The following is a 15,152-nucleotide window of genomic DNA, read 5'->3' as shown; positions in this document are numbered from 1 at the left end:
ATGTACTTTGGAGTGTGGTTATTACATCCTTCAAAAATACTGTTTGCTTATATTTTCTAGTTTAAAAATTCACTATAATCCAAACAAAAAAGAAAGATCTAGTTATGATATAGATCAGCATTCAAATACTTCGTATTTATATTTATGGCTTTTGCTTTTAATCTCCTTTCTGTGAAATTAGCAGGCTGTGATTTATAACAATTGAAGACCAGTGAAGTGTACTGGAAAGAACTAAAGCCTTGGAACCAAATGAACTCAAATGGCGCTCTACCACAAAACAATATACTGACAATTTCATGATCCTTGATACTCCATCTACAAAATGGAAATACCATTACTTACCTTCTAGAGTTGTTGAGATAATTAAATGATATATTTGTAATGCATATATTAATAAGTATATGATATTTAAGTTGAAAATCAACAATGAGTTCCCGCCTATCACTCTAGTTCTGCCTAATTTTGTTTTCATAGTCATAGTATAATTAAATTTGTTCTAACATATCGCCTCAACATCAGAATAAATACATTAAAAGAGTGGTACCTTGTTTCATTTCCTCTATTAAAATACAACTAAGACCACTTACTCAAAAAAGCACAACCAGAATGGACAGTTTTCAAAGTAATTTTTCTAGTTCCAGAAATAGAGCTCACAAAATGACATTGCTTACAATGATCAGACATTGAACATTTAAAAATTTATCTTTACTAAGTGTTTCAAATATAATATTAAAATGAAAGAAAGGTCTTTTAGAGCCAAACTATGTTCTGAAGTCTCACTTCTGGAATAGTCATTAACAATTCACTTACCCTATCTTTTAACAAAGGTTATATTTTTATTCGTTTCCCTAGGCGGGTGGATTATATTTAGAATATAACTTCAGTATCTGACACTTATCAAAACATAGTGTATAAATTGGAAAATGCTACTCTACCTTTGCATTATATTAAAATTTAAAAATTCTGTAGTTTACTTAAAATAAATAAATGCAAAATCAATGTTTAAAAATTACATCTGCTTCCCTTTGTTAGCTAATAACCCTTCTGTTCTTGGTTATGTCTTGCGGCTCACTAGTCACTCATTTAAAAATTATTTTTCTACCTGATACAGTACAATGAAGAAAATTACCACAGAGTTATTTTTAATGCAGTTCCTTAATAATTTCCTTAAAACCAAGAAACAGAATTTGTAAGATTGGTCTTGATTTCCCTTTATGTGGTATCATTAAAAATGTCATCACAATTTTTGTATGAACAGTAGCTATTTACATGACCAGGAGTTGTTTACATTTTTTTATCATTGCCTTCTGGACCACACAAGAAGTAAATAACTGAATGTAGCATCAACAAAAGTAAATCAAACAGTCTTTTAGGAAAATATGCAGTGCTATGTGTACTGCACATTTTCCTCACAACACTTATTAAGGGATTGGAATTCTCTTTTTTTAACAGATAAAGGTACTGTGGTTCAGAGAAGTTTGGCTTCTCCCTTAAAGTCACACAGCATGAAAAGTTAAGCCAGTATTTGAACAAAACTATTCTGACTTTCAAATATATATTTATTTTAATATTTCACCATGCAGAAAACAGATGTACTCAAGAATAATAAATAGAACTCCTCCAGAAAAAAAAAATGAAATACACATGAAATCCTTTAATGAAGCTTAAAAAATTGACTTTAGGAAACACTGAAGTTATAAAAAATATGTAAATTATAGTTTTATTTCTTCAAATGTTTCCTCCGTGTATTATAAATTATATTATTAACTAATGGAATACATTTACTTAGGCCATTTTTTTCCCAAATAGTATTGGAGGTGTAAGACAGAGGCAAGCTAAGCAGTAAATGGATAATGTGATATATTTAATTTTAGACACTTATAATAAACAGCACTCCGAGAAAATCACCTCTACTCCTACGTTAATACTGCTCAATCACAACACTACCTCAACCCCATCATCAACATCTACCACCAACATTTTTTTTCCAACAAAAATGGATTCTATTAGTATATTTTCTCTTGGTTGCTGAGCAACAAAATTTCTTCATGTAAGTATAAAAATACTGACAAACAAAGAGAAAACTGCTGAGAAGAAAACACAATAATAGACACCTCTATCAGCTACAGCCATCTGTGTTCAGTTTGACCCATGTTTTTGGCAAGCTTCTATTGTCCCTCCCATCCAAAGCTGTCTTGTCCTACAGAGAAAATTCTACTCCCACTTCCTTCATTTTCCAGCAAGACAGGGTCAACTGGTGTTCTAAATCTGCCAGGCTCTGGAATTAGAACACTAAAGATTCATTACTTGTAACTAATTACAACCTCAGTGGATAAATACGTTCCCTATTTTATTATGTGAAGTAATAAAATATTAAGCTGGCGTTGCAACACAGGCTGTTCTGTTCCACATAGCTATACTATACATGAATTGGTATTTTAATGTTTTTAGTGGAAATTTTAAAGTACTATCTTAAAAAAAAGAGACTATGGGTTAACTTTTGTGCAATTAAAGGATTGCCATACAGCTACTGGTGAGGAAAATTCTATGACCATATAATATAATCAATTCAAGTAACATTTAATAACTCTGAATTATGTTTCAAATTTGCCATTAGATAGACATAATCACAATTGGTTTTGGTATTAAAGTAATATATGAAATACATGTCTTGTTTTAAGCAAATCTCCTGAAACTGTCAAACATCTCAAAATTGTTAAAAAATTTGAAATTAACATGACAATAGAATTGAATACATTTTATTATTTTTTAATTTGAAGACAGGAGATCCCTAAAAGGTTAAATGCCATTAGCACCTGATAGGAAGCAATTTCTCAGAATTGTGCAAAGGATTTAGAAGCAGTGTCATGAAAAAAGAAAGGTTATAGCTGTTGGTGGATCCAGGATCTTTGCAAATGGGATTTAGGGACAACAATATGGATGGGATGGGGACAGGTGCATGGGAAGAGGTGAGGGGGCATGTGGGAAAGAGCAAGAATCGGGGTCCAAAGGCTTCATCTTGAAGCCGCATTTGCATAACAAAAAATCTTTCTTTTACTTTAAATTCCATGTTTTTGGGAGATGTCTTTGGGAGGATGCTGATGGAGATGTGAAGATCATGAGGAAGCTGTAGCCTCCTTTTCTCACTCCGAGTTTAAGGACTGGAGTCAACACTGAGTATAGGTTGACTATACTCAGTAAGTAAGAAATTCTAATCTGGGACTCCTCTGCCAACTAAGTGTGTTATATGAGTGGGCCACATAAACCCTATTGTTTCAGTTTATCATTTGAAAATGAGGTGTCAAATGACTGTCCTAGAATTAAAAACCTGAGACTCCCATTCCCATCCTAGAGCTCTGACCTTTACTTGGTATTGATTCCTCACCTTCCTAGCCTTAGGATATTAGTGACTCCACCAGAGGAAAAGTTAGAGTGTATGTGATAGTTATTCTTTTATATTTTTAATATTTGAAAATATATGACATTTTTAAACAGCACCGATGTTTTCAATAGCAAATTTTGTTATCTCACAGGATGATTGTTTCTATTTCTTGAAAAATGGAAACAATCTAAGACACAGATTACTAGAAATTGGTGCTAAGCATTTTAATCACTGCAGCATAGCTTAAAATAAAGTCTCCTTAAGGATTAAGCTACAGTTTTACAGAAAACCTCTCTAGTTAGATTTTTCCTGTGATGTGCTACAGATATGCTAATGTGAAAAAACCCAGTAGGGATATTCTTGCTTTGGTTATAAAATATTAATCCACTTCATGAAATAAAGCTAAACAAAAGCACTTATCAATGGGGAATCTCTTTTGATCCATAAATAAATAATTTGCCAGAACTGCACTTTTACAATTTGCCACAAATCCACACGAAAAGACGTCACATTAAAATGATGTTAAAAATCTGTCATTGAACTAGTGAAGATGCCATTAAGAAAATCATCACTTTAAAATAGGTCTGTTTTGAGCATCTGTGGGACGAATTCTATTAAGTTCCTTGGGTTTAGAAAATCTGTATTTCCTTTGTTTACCCTGTGTTTGTTTAGTATAAGAGCACCATGACTTACATATCTGATCTTGCTTCTCTGCTTGACTTGGCCTTTAGAAAGCTAAACATAAACTCAATGAGTTACCTAAATTACATATATCTGTATGCTAATCTTATATATTTCAGGATTATTTTTAGTAACACTTATTTTTACTACTTAGAGATTCATTTAAATATTGTATCTCTTTGTTGTATATATACTTTTGTAAACTGCTTCAAATCTATTGTAGAATGAAGCCAATGTATAAATAAAAATAAGAGTAAGTATTTTAACCAAAGAACAAAAATGTATATACCATAAAACACTACCCCGAGCAGAAGAAAGCCCATCTTCTTTGTGTATTTGCTTATTTTGAATATTTTATGAAGTAAGAAAATACTTTTCTGTCCAGGAAAACGTTTTAATCATTAGTTAGAAAATCTTCACTTAAAAAGTTACCAGAATTTATATGTTTTGTTAAAGAGTAGTTTCGAAAGATAGATAGTTTTCCCTTTTTTGGACTGGAGAAGCCAAGTCGACCTCAATTAAGAAAACTGCATTAAGTCATGGACAAAAAACGATTTCTAAATAGGCTCACAAACAAACACACACAATTCCATAATAGTCAATATTTTACTACCATCACTAAAAATTGAGAGATGAATATCCCTCATCTAAATCAGAGATAAGGCTTCTCTCTGAATGAAACAAAACACTGAATGAAATCAAATCAAATTAAATCAAATGAAAATGAAACAAACACTGAATATTCAAATATTCTAACTTGTTTGTTTCCTGAGCAACTAAACCTTTAAAAAAGTTTCACAATTCATAAATAACTTCACTTAAGGGGTTATAACTATTACTAAATTATGTCAACAACAATACAATAGTGGATGAAAAATAGCATTAACACCAGACTGGGCAGTATTGTTTAATGTCAGGCATGTTGACCAAAGTCATATAAACCTGGGTGCTAGTCTAGATTTGTGACCACACAGAAATAATGAAATTCCTTGTGTCTTTTCCTTAAAATGAACATAAAAATGCTTGACTTCCTTACAGGCTTGTTGAGGAAATTGAGAAAGGAAAAAAAAAAAAAAAAAGAATGGAACGGAACTCTAAAATACTTTAAAAATAGAAAGACATTTTCTTAAATGTTAATAGTCCTGTGCAGATCTATATTTTGAGGAAAAAGGGGAAGAGCACTAATAAACTTTATAGAGTGCCATTGTTTTTCTCACAAGAAGCTATGAAGTAGGCTATCCTTACCATTTTACAAATGAGGAAAATAAGATTCTGAGAGTAGCTGTGACAACATCTGAATCAAGCTTCTCTTAAATCAAAAGCCTGCATTCTTTCAACTAAACTTAAGGCAAGAGGGATTGTCCAGCAGTATTTTCTTTGCTGCGTGTTAAAATCAAGTTTACTGATATTATTGATGTGAAATGTTGAACAAGGATGGTAAATTAGAAAAAAGGAATGACAGTAATTAAAGTTATCAATATTAAAAGTAGTAATGTTTTCAAAGTTTCTATGTATTCACCTGTTTTCTGATGAACAACATGGTTTACGATAACAATAACTTAAGATCTGCTCTCTAAAGCAAAATTAGATAAGGTTGAAGGAGATGAGAAGACATGAGATGGTGTAGCATACACTGTGATATATATTTTCTAAAATGTTCTACTTTACCAAAACATCTATAGCATTAGTGGTCCCACTTTCCTTCACAGACACCATAAATGTTTCTGAAGTTTGGGTTACACGTTCTTAGCCAATCAAGTCATGTAGCCACTATCTTTTTATGAAGGAAAACCAGTCTTTTCCAATCAGTTAACTTCCCTAATTTCAGAAGAGGCTCTAAAGTCTTGGCTTAAGAGATGAAAAATGACTCCCCTACTTCAGCATGCATCACTGGTTGAGCTCCTGAAGCTTAAGCAGCATATTTGCAGCATTATCAACAGTAAATCCTTAGCTTATCAATGATTTACTGAGCATCTGCCTAGAGCCAGCCACACTGTAGGTGCTGTGCATATAGCAGAAACAGATGAAAAGCTTTCCCCTCATGAAACATATATTCTAAAGGGAAGGCACACCATAAACAGAATAAACAAGTAACATATGTGTTATGTCGGGTGATGATAAGAAAAAAGCAGAAACAAAAGGAAGGAAAGAGAAAAACGAAAACTGGAGGGAAGAAGGACTTTGCAAGGTGACTCTCAGAAATGATGTGGGGAAAGTGAGGAAGGGAGCAGTCCAGGCCAGAGCTGCCACAAAGACCCTAAGGAGGGGCGCCTGAGGCTGGGGCCTGGAGCTCTGATGGTTGCTGAACAAGTTCAGGCAAGGGGAATCAGGAAAAAAGAGGTCCAAACAGTAACTAATAAGAGCAGTCAACTAGGGTCTTCAGGGTCATTGTAAGAATTTGACTTTTACTATAAGTGAAATAGGAAGTTTTTGGGCAAATGAAATGATCTAAAAGATCACTCTCACTCTGGTTGCTAGACTAAACTGAAGGGGACAAGGACAAAGGCTGAGATGCCAGTTCATTCATTCATTCACTTAGTCATTCAACAGAAACTTATATTGTGTCTACTATGTTTGTTCCAAGTAATGTTCTAGACTCTTAAGATATGTTAAGGAACATAGCAGATCAATATATCTGCCCTCGTAGAAATTAATTCCAGTGGGAAGAAGACAGATCAAACAATAATCAACATTATAAATCAATAAATTATATCACTCACACCCACCCCTATACATATATAGTGTTCATATTTTATATAAAGGAATGAGATTGGTTGAGCTCCTCAGTGAAATTGATTAAAAAGAGAAAAAATTCAACAACTAGTTCCAGGGGCATTCCAACATTTAACATGTGAGGAGATAAGTAGAAATTGGTGAAGGAGGCTGGTAAGCCTTATGGGAGAGGAAGATGAAGAAATGCCGCAAGGCAATGGAAATCAGGCAGCATGAGGGGATAGTTACAATAATAAGTTATTAAAGGAAGATTTAGCCTAATTTGCAATGTGAGATAAAAAAAAATACTTGAAGTATGGGAGGTTGTTGTCCAGGCTGATGTCTGGAGAAAGGGTGTTCTATGCAGAAGGAAGAGCCAAGGCAAAAGCCCGAAGGCTAATGTGTGCCTAGCAAGTTCCGAGAATAGAAAGAAGCCAGTGTAGGTAAAGCCAAGTAAGAGAAGAGAACAATAGGAACACTGTCAGAAATCAACAAGAAGATGTCTTCAATAATCCAAGGGAAGAATGATGGTGTCTTAGACCAAGTTACTAACAGTGAGCATGATGAGAAATTATCATGAAATGATCATATTGAAATGAAATATTTTGAAGACAGAGCCAACAAGATCAACTGAAAGGTTGTAAGTAGGGTGAGAAAGAAAGTTAGGAGTCAAAGATAACGCTAAGATTTTTGACCTGATCAATCAGAAGGTTGGAATTGCCATCAACTGAAAAGAAGATGGGTGAAGATGGAATATGTTTTTATTGGGGAGAATATCAGCAGCTCAGATTTAAAAATGTTAATTTAAAATATCAGTTAGGAAGCTAATCAATGAATAAGTGATTGGTTATACGAATGTAGGGTTCAGAAAAGACATATGGGCTGGAGGCAAAATTTTGGAGTCATCAGTGTATATATGTCATTTAATGCTATGAGATTGAGATCCTCAAGGGAATGAGTATAGAGTAAAAAGAGAAAGACTGCAAGAACTGGCTTTAGGGATGTTCCAACACTTAGAGTTTGAGGACATGGTGAGATGCTTGCGAACGAGGCTGAGAAGTGATTGGTCCAAGAAATAAAAAAGGGTAAAAAGTCACAGAATATGATGACTCGGAAGCCAACCGAATAAAGCATTTAATGGAAGTAAAATCCACTAGGTCAAATATTCTTTAGATTAGCTACAATGAGCATTGAGAAAGGCCATTGGATCTAGCAATGTGTCCATCATAGTGGCCTCAGTAAGAGCAATTTCACTGGAGTGGCAGGGGCCAAGTCTGATGGGAGTAGATTTAAGAGATCATGAGAAGAAAAAATGCAGGTACAGGCAACTCTTTCAAAAAGTTTTGCTGCAAAGGGAAGAAAATAAATGAGCAACTGAAAGAATGGAAATATATTCCTGCCTTGGGATTTAGAAAGCAAAATGAAGAAATAACAGATTATAGGTTAATAAAGATTATAAAGGTTAATAGGGACCTAAACAAAGATTGATAGGGACCTAAAGTAATCCTACTACTGGTTCATCACCAAAATTTCATTTTATCTTATATTTTTTCATCATTAACATGAACAAGTATAGAAATATGAAAACAACTTTTTACATGGTGAGAATTATGTCTACAAATGTATAGAAATAATCATTCTTACAAGTAGCATTAGTTAGTGCTGTGTTGGAACTAAATGCACAGACTTCAGAGGCAGACTGCTGGGTTTAAATCCTGCTTCCACCATAAACCAACTCCATAAGCAACCTCCATGAGCCTCAGTATTCTCATTTGTCAAATGATGATATGTTGTATCTACCTCCAGAACCATTGCAAAGGCAAGACAGCACCTGGCAAGACTGTTTACCAGTGTCTAACAATAACATAAACGATTTATATATGTTAGAATCTGTGAATGATAAAAAGCCTTAGAGAAATGTCAAATAATCTGTAACAATCATCAAAAATGCCACTTGCTCCCACCTGCCAGTAGCAAAGCATGTTTCTAAATGTCTTTCAACATTTCTTCAAAGCCTTAAAATTCTTTGGTTTTTACTCACTGATCGTTTCTTAAAAATGCATACACGTCTGGAAACTGAAGAAGATTGTGGTCCTATAATCACTGTTTAATTACCACATATAAATTATCTGCCAATTAGATTGTTTCCTCTTCATGACTTAATTGTCCAATTTTGTCTCAGGATATTAAGAGCAAAGAAAAGCCAACAGTCTTTGTACAATGGGGGCATACGTGTTAATATATAATTACATGTGTGTATTTTATACAGAATGTTTGTTTAATAGAATATTTTCACCTGTCTGCATTCCCTATACTCTCCTTCTCAGTCAACATACTATTAAAATGGCTACTTTTGTCACAGACTACATAAAGCTTGAAATTATTAGAAAATATTTACCATATTCTATATTGGACACTTTATATTCATCTTGACCCACATTACCTGCCAGTTATTCTTTTCCTATTTCCACTCACGAGTGCCTAATTCGGAATACCACCTACTTTTATGGGTTTTATAAAGCGCTGGGCCTAGATTTATTAATTCTTGAAATACAGAACCCACCTCAGGGCCTATGCAGTTTGCTACAGTCACTAATGCAACAGTCCCTCACAACTAATGAGGTTCTTAGGCAGTTTTTCACTCTAATGATGACAAAGTGCAAGCTGCAGACAATGCAATGAAAAATTGATTCCACAAAATTCTAAGTAAATAACTATTTTTCAAAACTATTCCTAGAGCAGATTCCTCAAAATTGAATAAAACAAAAAAGAATTAAAATCATTAGGGTTTTAATAAAGATAAAAAAGTAATAAATTGTAAATTCATTGGAAGATGAGTTATGTCTATAGAAATCTAGCAGCAGGAGTAAATCAAGCATCCTGAAGATATATATAAAATATGCAGCATGAACATAATTAGCCATCAATAATCCTGTTTGTCATACACATTTGTACCCATCTTAAAAATTTATAAAGCCCTTTAATTCACAGCATTTTGTTCAATACATTTAAAAACATACCAATAGGGAAGAAACAAAATCAAAAAATTTATCCCAGGCTGTTTTTTAAAGAAACACTCTTGACTTCAAACACATAGGAAGCAGTAAAATGTTTTCCTATTTAAAATAATCTTCACACTCCATCCACTCCAACCCCATCATTATTCCAAAGAAGATGATTTATCACCTAAAAATTCAAAAATAATTCTCCACCTTCTTAAACTCCAGTGACTGCTTCCAAAGTGAATAGTGCTGTAGGTTAGAAGAGGCCCCTCATCTACCTTTGCTCTCCATTTGCCTTCAGCTCCCTTCTCTCAAATTCTCATCTTCTTCCCTGCTCTAGAAACCCTTGGAAGTCTTCCTAATTCAATTTAGGCTCCTTGCTACCACCACTAATGATGCCTAGGGATGTAACCGATCTGCTGAGGGCCTTAGCTGTGGTAGGCAAAAATTGTTTCCCTTTATTTTACACAATACATAAAAATACTTATGAATTTTTTTTTGAGATAAAGTCTAATTCTGTCACCCAGCCTGGAGTGCAATGGCATGATCTCAGCTCACTGCAGCCTCTGCTCCCAGGGTTTGAGTGGTTCTCCTATCTCAGCCTCCCAAGTAGCTGGGACTACAGGCGTGCACCACCATGCCCGGCAAATTTTTGTATTTTTAGTAGAGATGGGGTTTTACCATGTTGCCCAGGCTGGTCTCAAAATCCTGGCCTCAAGGAATTGTCTGCCTTGGCCTCCCATTTAAGGTGTGAGCCACTTTGCCTGGCCTTAAATGCTTTTTAAGCAACAAATCAGAGAGTGAAAACAAAGTTATTAAAAAGCATACATATATCATCATAGCTATAGGGCAAAGAGCTTTTCTCTTAACCAAAACCACAGACTGATCCAGCTTGATAGAAGAGTAGTTATGAGGATGCATTGTGAAGTTACTCAAGTCTGGATATGGTTTTCTTTCTATCTATATGAACTTAAGCGACTTATTAACTTATCTGAGACTCAGTTTCCATAGCTACAAAATGCAAATGATATTAGTATTGTATGGGTTAAATAAAATCCCTAAAAATGCACTTATCACTATGCACTTATCATTATGTCTAAACATAGCAATATTCAATAAATTTTATAATAATAACAGTTATTATATATCCAGCTCTCTTGCCTGTATTCTGCTTGTGAGGTTCAATACACAAGATATACAGACATTTAATCTAAGGTGCACTACTGTGATTCAAAACCCTGTGAAAGAAAATCATTTCTAACGTTTGTATCCAAAACTGACCTCACAAATGTCTCCATCATTTCTCTTGGAAATCTTAATAGTTTCTTGTGAAAATAAATTAATTTATTATCAGATTGCTAAAACTCATTTGTAATCATTAATGAATCATAGTCCATTTACCTAATATTCCAAACATACTTTTAATATATTATTTCGAGTGGCTCTTTTTTTCCTGGTTGTTAACTGAACTGCCAAAATCTCACTACCCACACCAATGGTTCTCTCACTGTGGAGTATGCATGGACCTCCATGCAAACCAGAGACCTGTTTAAGGAGTCCTGGGAAATCAACACTGTTTACATGATAATGCAAACCATCCTCTGCCTTTGTTCACTGTGTTGGCATTTATGCTAGAGGTGCAAAAGCAATGGTGGGTAAAACTGGTGGTACTTTAGCACAAATCAAAGCAGTAGATCCAAAGTACTTTAGCAGTAATTGTGTTCTTCACCACCACATACTCACAGTAAAACAAACAAACAAACAAAACTATTTCATTTAAAAAGGTAAATAAGTTTTCTTGAGAAAACAAAAAACGTATTAATTTTATCAAATCTAGACTCAACTTTGATGTCTTTTCAATATCCTGTGTGACACAAAGCAATATGTGCACAAAGACCCATTACTCTGTACCTAGGTATTGTGGTTTTCTCAAAGAAATGCATATGTGTAATTGAATTGTAAGCTGAACTAGCCACTTGATTTGTGGAATACGATTTTTACTCGAAAGAGCAACTGTTTCTTTTTAAATATTTGAGTATGCATAATCTTTTCTTTTTATCATGAACAAAGGAAGCCTGACACTTCCAGGAAAACAACAATATATGTTACTAATAGTGAAATTTGAGCTTTCGAGTAAAAATTCAAATTTGGAAAACTTCTAACCATCACCAACAGGTTGAGAGTCATATATTAAAGACTTTTATGATAAATTCCTTATCAGTTACACCAATAATTTTGAAATGATCAATGCCTGATATTTCTAAATCAGGAATAGGTAAAAAAAAATCATTACGAATGCGAGATAAATGTATTTTTATGTAACAGACTATGAAAAGTTTGCTGACAGGGTTTCATATTCCACACTGCAAGTAAGTCTTAAGAAACTGCCACTGTGGACTTCTGATGCAGTAGGCAAACTATTTCTCTATTATCCCACTCAAAATATCTGTGTAAGGATGGATTCTGCTTGTATATTTTAGCCAAAAACACAACATATTGCAATATATTGCCCAAGAAGATTTGAGAATCCAGCTGTATTCTATTGAGCTAGATATTAAAGAGATTTGTAAAGATGTAAGATAATGCCACTCTTTAATTTTTAGTTAGAAAAAATAAACTTTTTTAAAACAAAATAAACATGTTATATATTTAAAATATAATGTAGTTTTAAAATGAATTAACAAATATTTTTAATTTCCTCAGTTGTACTGTTAAAAGTGGTAAATATCAATAGACAAGACATGCTTACACAAAGTCTCCAGGGGTGTCCTTGACAATTCTTAAGAGCATAAAGGGGTCCTGAATGTAGCAAGTTTGGGAACTATGGCCTGGTGACTACCTGAATGTATAAGATTGCTTCCTTCCATTTAAACACTAAGCTCCATATCAGAACACCCACGTAAATTCCTCTTCCTTGTTGAGTTTCCTGACAGTTATCAATTCATTTGTAGAGCAGAGATAATTATTATGCTCTGACCTGAGTTCAATTAATGAGCAGCATCAGATTTATTAACTTCCTTCATTTCCTCAGCTTTTCTCTGGTGATTTATTCCCAAGTTATAAAGACATATGTTCTGATCTTAGGTCTTCTACCATCTTATTCAGCAAACATGTATGGAGCACCTACTATACATCAGGTAATATGCCACGGTCTGAAATAACAAAGACCAATAAAACAAGCCCCTGACCATCATGAGGTCTAACCACGTTCCTAAGTTGCATGTTCCTATGTAATACACATTAAAGGATAAATGCTTACTGAAGTACATATATCTATTTTTTGGTGAACCTAGAAAAATGCCACAAACTTTACATGGCCTATTCTAACATAATCAAGACTATCTAAGCTCTTCTGAGAACATAAAGAGACAAAATAAAAAGGTAATTAATCTTGTGTCTGAAACCCAAACACAATCTTTCAATGACATTACTACCAATGCCAAATCTTTGGATATAACAAGTAGCGTAAGTAAAGGTGTATAACTGGACACATCTTTGGAATGAACAATATCAGAGTCATAGTCATTAGCCTCTTACCCCAAATGTCAGAGCTAGGAAAAGAATGCAGATGAAATTGTTTCTCTTTTACCCGCTGACTCTCTGCCTGCCCATGGAATGTGATCAGCATGACTCTGCCAGAAACCTGAGTAAGCAACCCAGACTCTTATCAGTGTACATGAATAATTTTTTAAAATGCGCTGGACAAAGTCCAATTAAACAAACAATTTAAAAATCGCCTTTGATAACAAGAGGAAATGTATAACTTATTTTTGCAGAATCACAGTAAATTAATTGTTTGAGCAGAAGGAAAACAGCACTTTATTGTATACACTTGAAAAATCCAACCAATAATAATATGAAATTCTAGCTCACAACCACTGCTTTCAATATTCTTTGGAGAAACACATTTGCTTTTCATTTTCAAAGTGGTTGGATCTTGAGAACTCAAATTGGGTTTACAATTTCAGCACTTAAGTTCACAGAAGATATGCTGACTTTTTTTTAATTAAAAAAATCATCACATTGAATTCTCCCCAGATTTTTAAATGAATAGAACATAGTATATATGATAACTTTTCATATTGGTGTTACTTGACTTATAAAAAGTAATAAACAAATCATCCCCTATTAATAACAAAATTACTTATAAACATTTTTAATCTTCTTGCCTATTGCAGAGGCAGCACTATTTAATACTTTCATGCTAAGCCAATCTTTGCATAGCTAATGGGTAAATAAAAAAGACACAATAAATCTAATGATAAAACTGAGCATTTATTCTCATTCTCCATAGTATTCTAATAAAATGTACTACACTGAACCAAACAACAGCATCTAATAACATAATCTGTTTTACAGTTTAACAAATTCATCTAAAGTCTGGAATGACTTAATTTCCTGCCTTCAATCAATATTTTGGTTTTCAAACTAATCAAATATTTTCATGTAAGTATTCATTCCAGAGAAGAAAGTTAGAGAGAGGATTGTGGGTTTAGAAGATGGATAACTTCAAATCAAAATTCAATTACATATAAATCATGGCCTGAGCTACACCAAATAGCTCAACATATAAGCCCTATATTAAAATATTTTTTAAATAATTAGGTAAAAGAGGTTATTTGGCTTAGAAATCCTTTCAGTGCTATGTAGGTAAAGATAAAATTGAATTCCCCTTAGAATTATATCTCTAATTAATATGGTCCTTTAAGCCATAAATATTCTTCCCCATCCATAGATAGACATAACCAACTACTATGAAAAAAAATCACAGAGGATACAAAAATATATAATAATAATAATAAATTATCATTTAAAATAAAGAAAATCCCCACCTCCTCCCCCCAAAAAAGAAAAGAAGCAAGAAAACAAGCACATGAGCCTCAATTTCACTTGCATGTTGTGTCTGGGTCACTGCCAAGTATCACAAACCACATTTGATGTTTGTGTTTTTGGCTGACTGACACTAGAATGTCTTTGAGGGGCCTGGGGAGGGAAAGAATGAACTGAGAAACAGCAAACAAGAGTTTTCTGGAGTATAGCTATATCATTTCTAGTTGATTATCAAAATAACATTGAAAGTAGTTCAATTAAAAAGCAAATCAACGATACAAGGAGGCAGTAGCCTAAAATACACTCCAGGGAAGGCTGAGCTTGGAATTCTTTTGGCTTATGCTATGAAACACTAATTTCTTACTCACCAACAAACAGAACAGAGTGTATCTATCCCATGGCATTGAACTCAGTATTGTCAAGAAACAATCCCTAGTCTCTGATTATTCACAGCCCATTGCATGCCTTAATTTAAGAGGGAAAAGGAAGGATTATCCTAAGTCAGAAGACAGTGTCTAAAATGTTAAGGCAGATGAAATCAGGAA

The 15,152-nt window shown here is 33.7% G+C and overlaps 1 protein-coding gene across 6 annotated transcripts in view, besides 1 other annotated feature; it reads right to left on the bottom strand.

Moving 5' to 3' along the window:
* Positions 1-15,152, bottom strand: part of FAT4 (FAT atypical cadherin 4) — a 177,978-nt gene that overhangs the window by 155,631 nt on the left and 7,195 nt on the right. The gene's annotated exons all lie outside the window — the stretch shown is intronic.
* Positions 11,115-11,719: an enhancer, noted in NCBI's record as "OCT4-NANOG hESC enhancer chr4:126246738-126247342 (GRCh37/hg19 assembly coordinates)". NCBI's record gives its function as "activates a minimal SCP1, AML or CMV promoter by ChIP-STARR-seq in naive H9 embryonic stem cells {active_cell/tissue: H9 hESC(naive)}" and the evidence as "EXISTENCE:reporter gene assay evidence [ECO:0000049][PMID:30033119]".

This window comes from Homo sapiens, chromosome 4, assembly GCF_000001405.40.
Source record: "Homo sapiens chromosome 4, GRCh38.p14 Primary Assembly".
NCBI lineage: Eukaryota > Metazoa > Chordata > Mammalia > Primates > Hominidae > Homo > Homo sapiens.
This window is presented reverse-complemented; position numbering and strand designations above follow the sequence as displayed.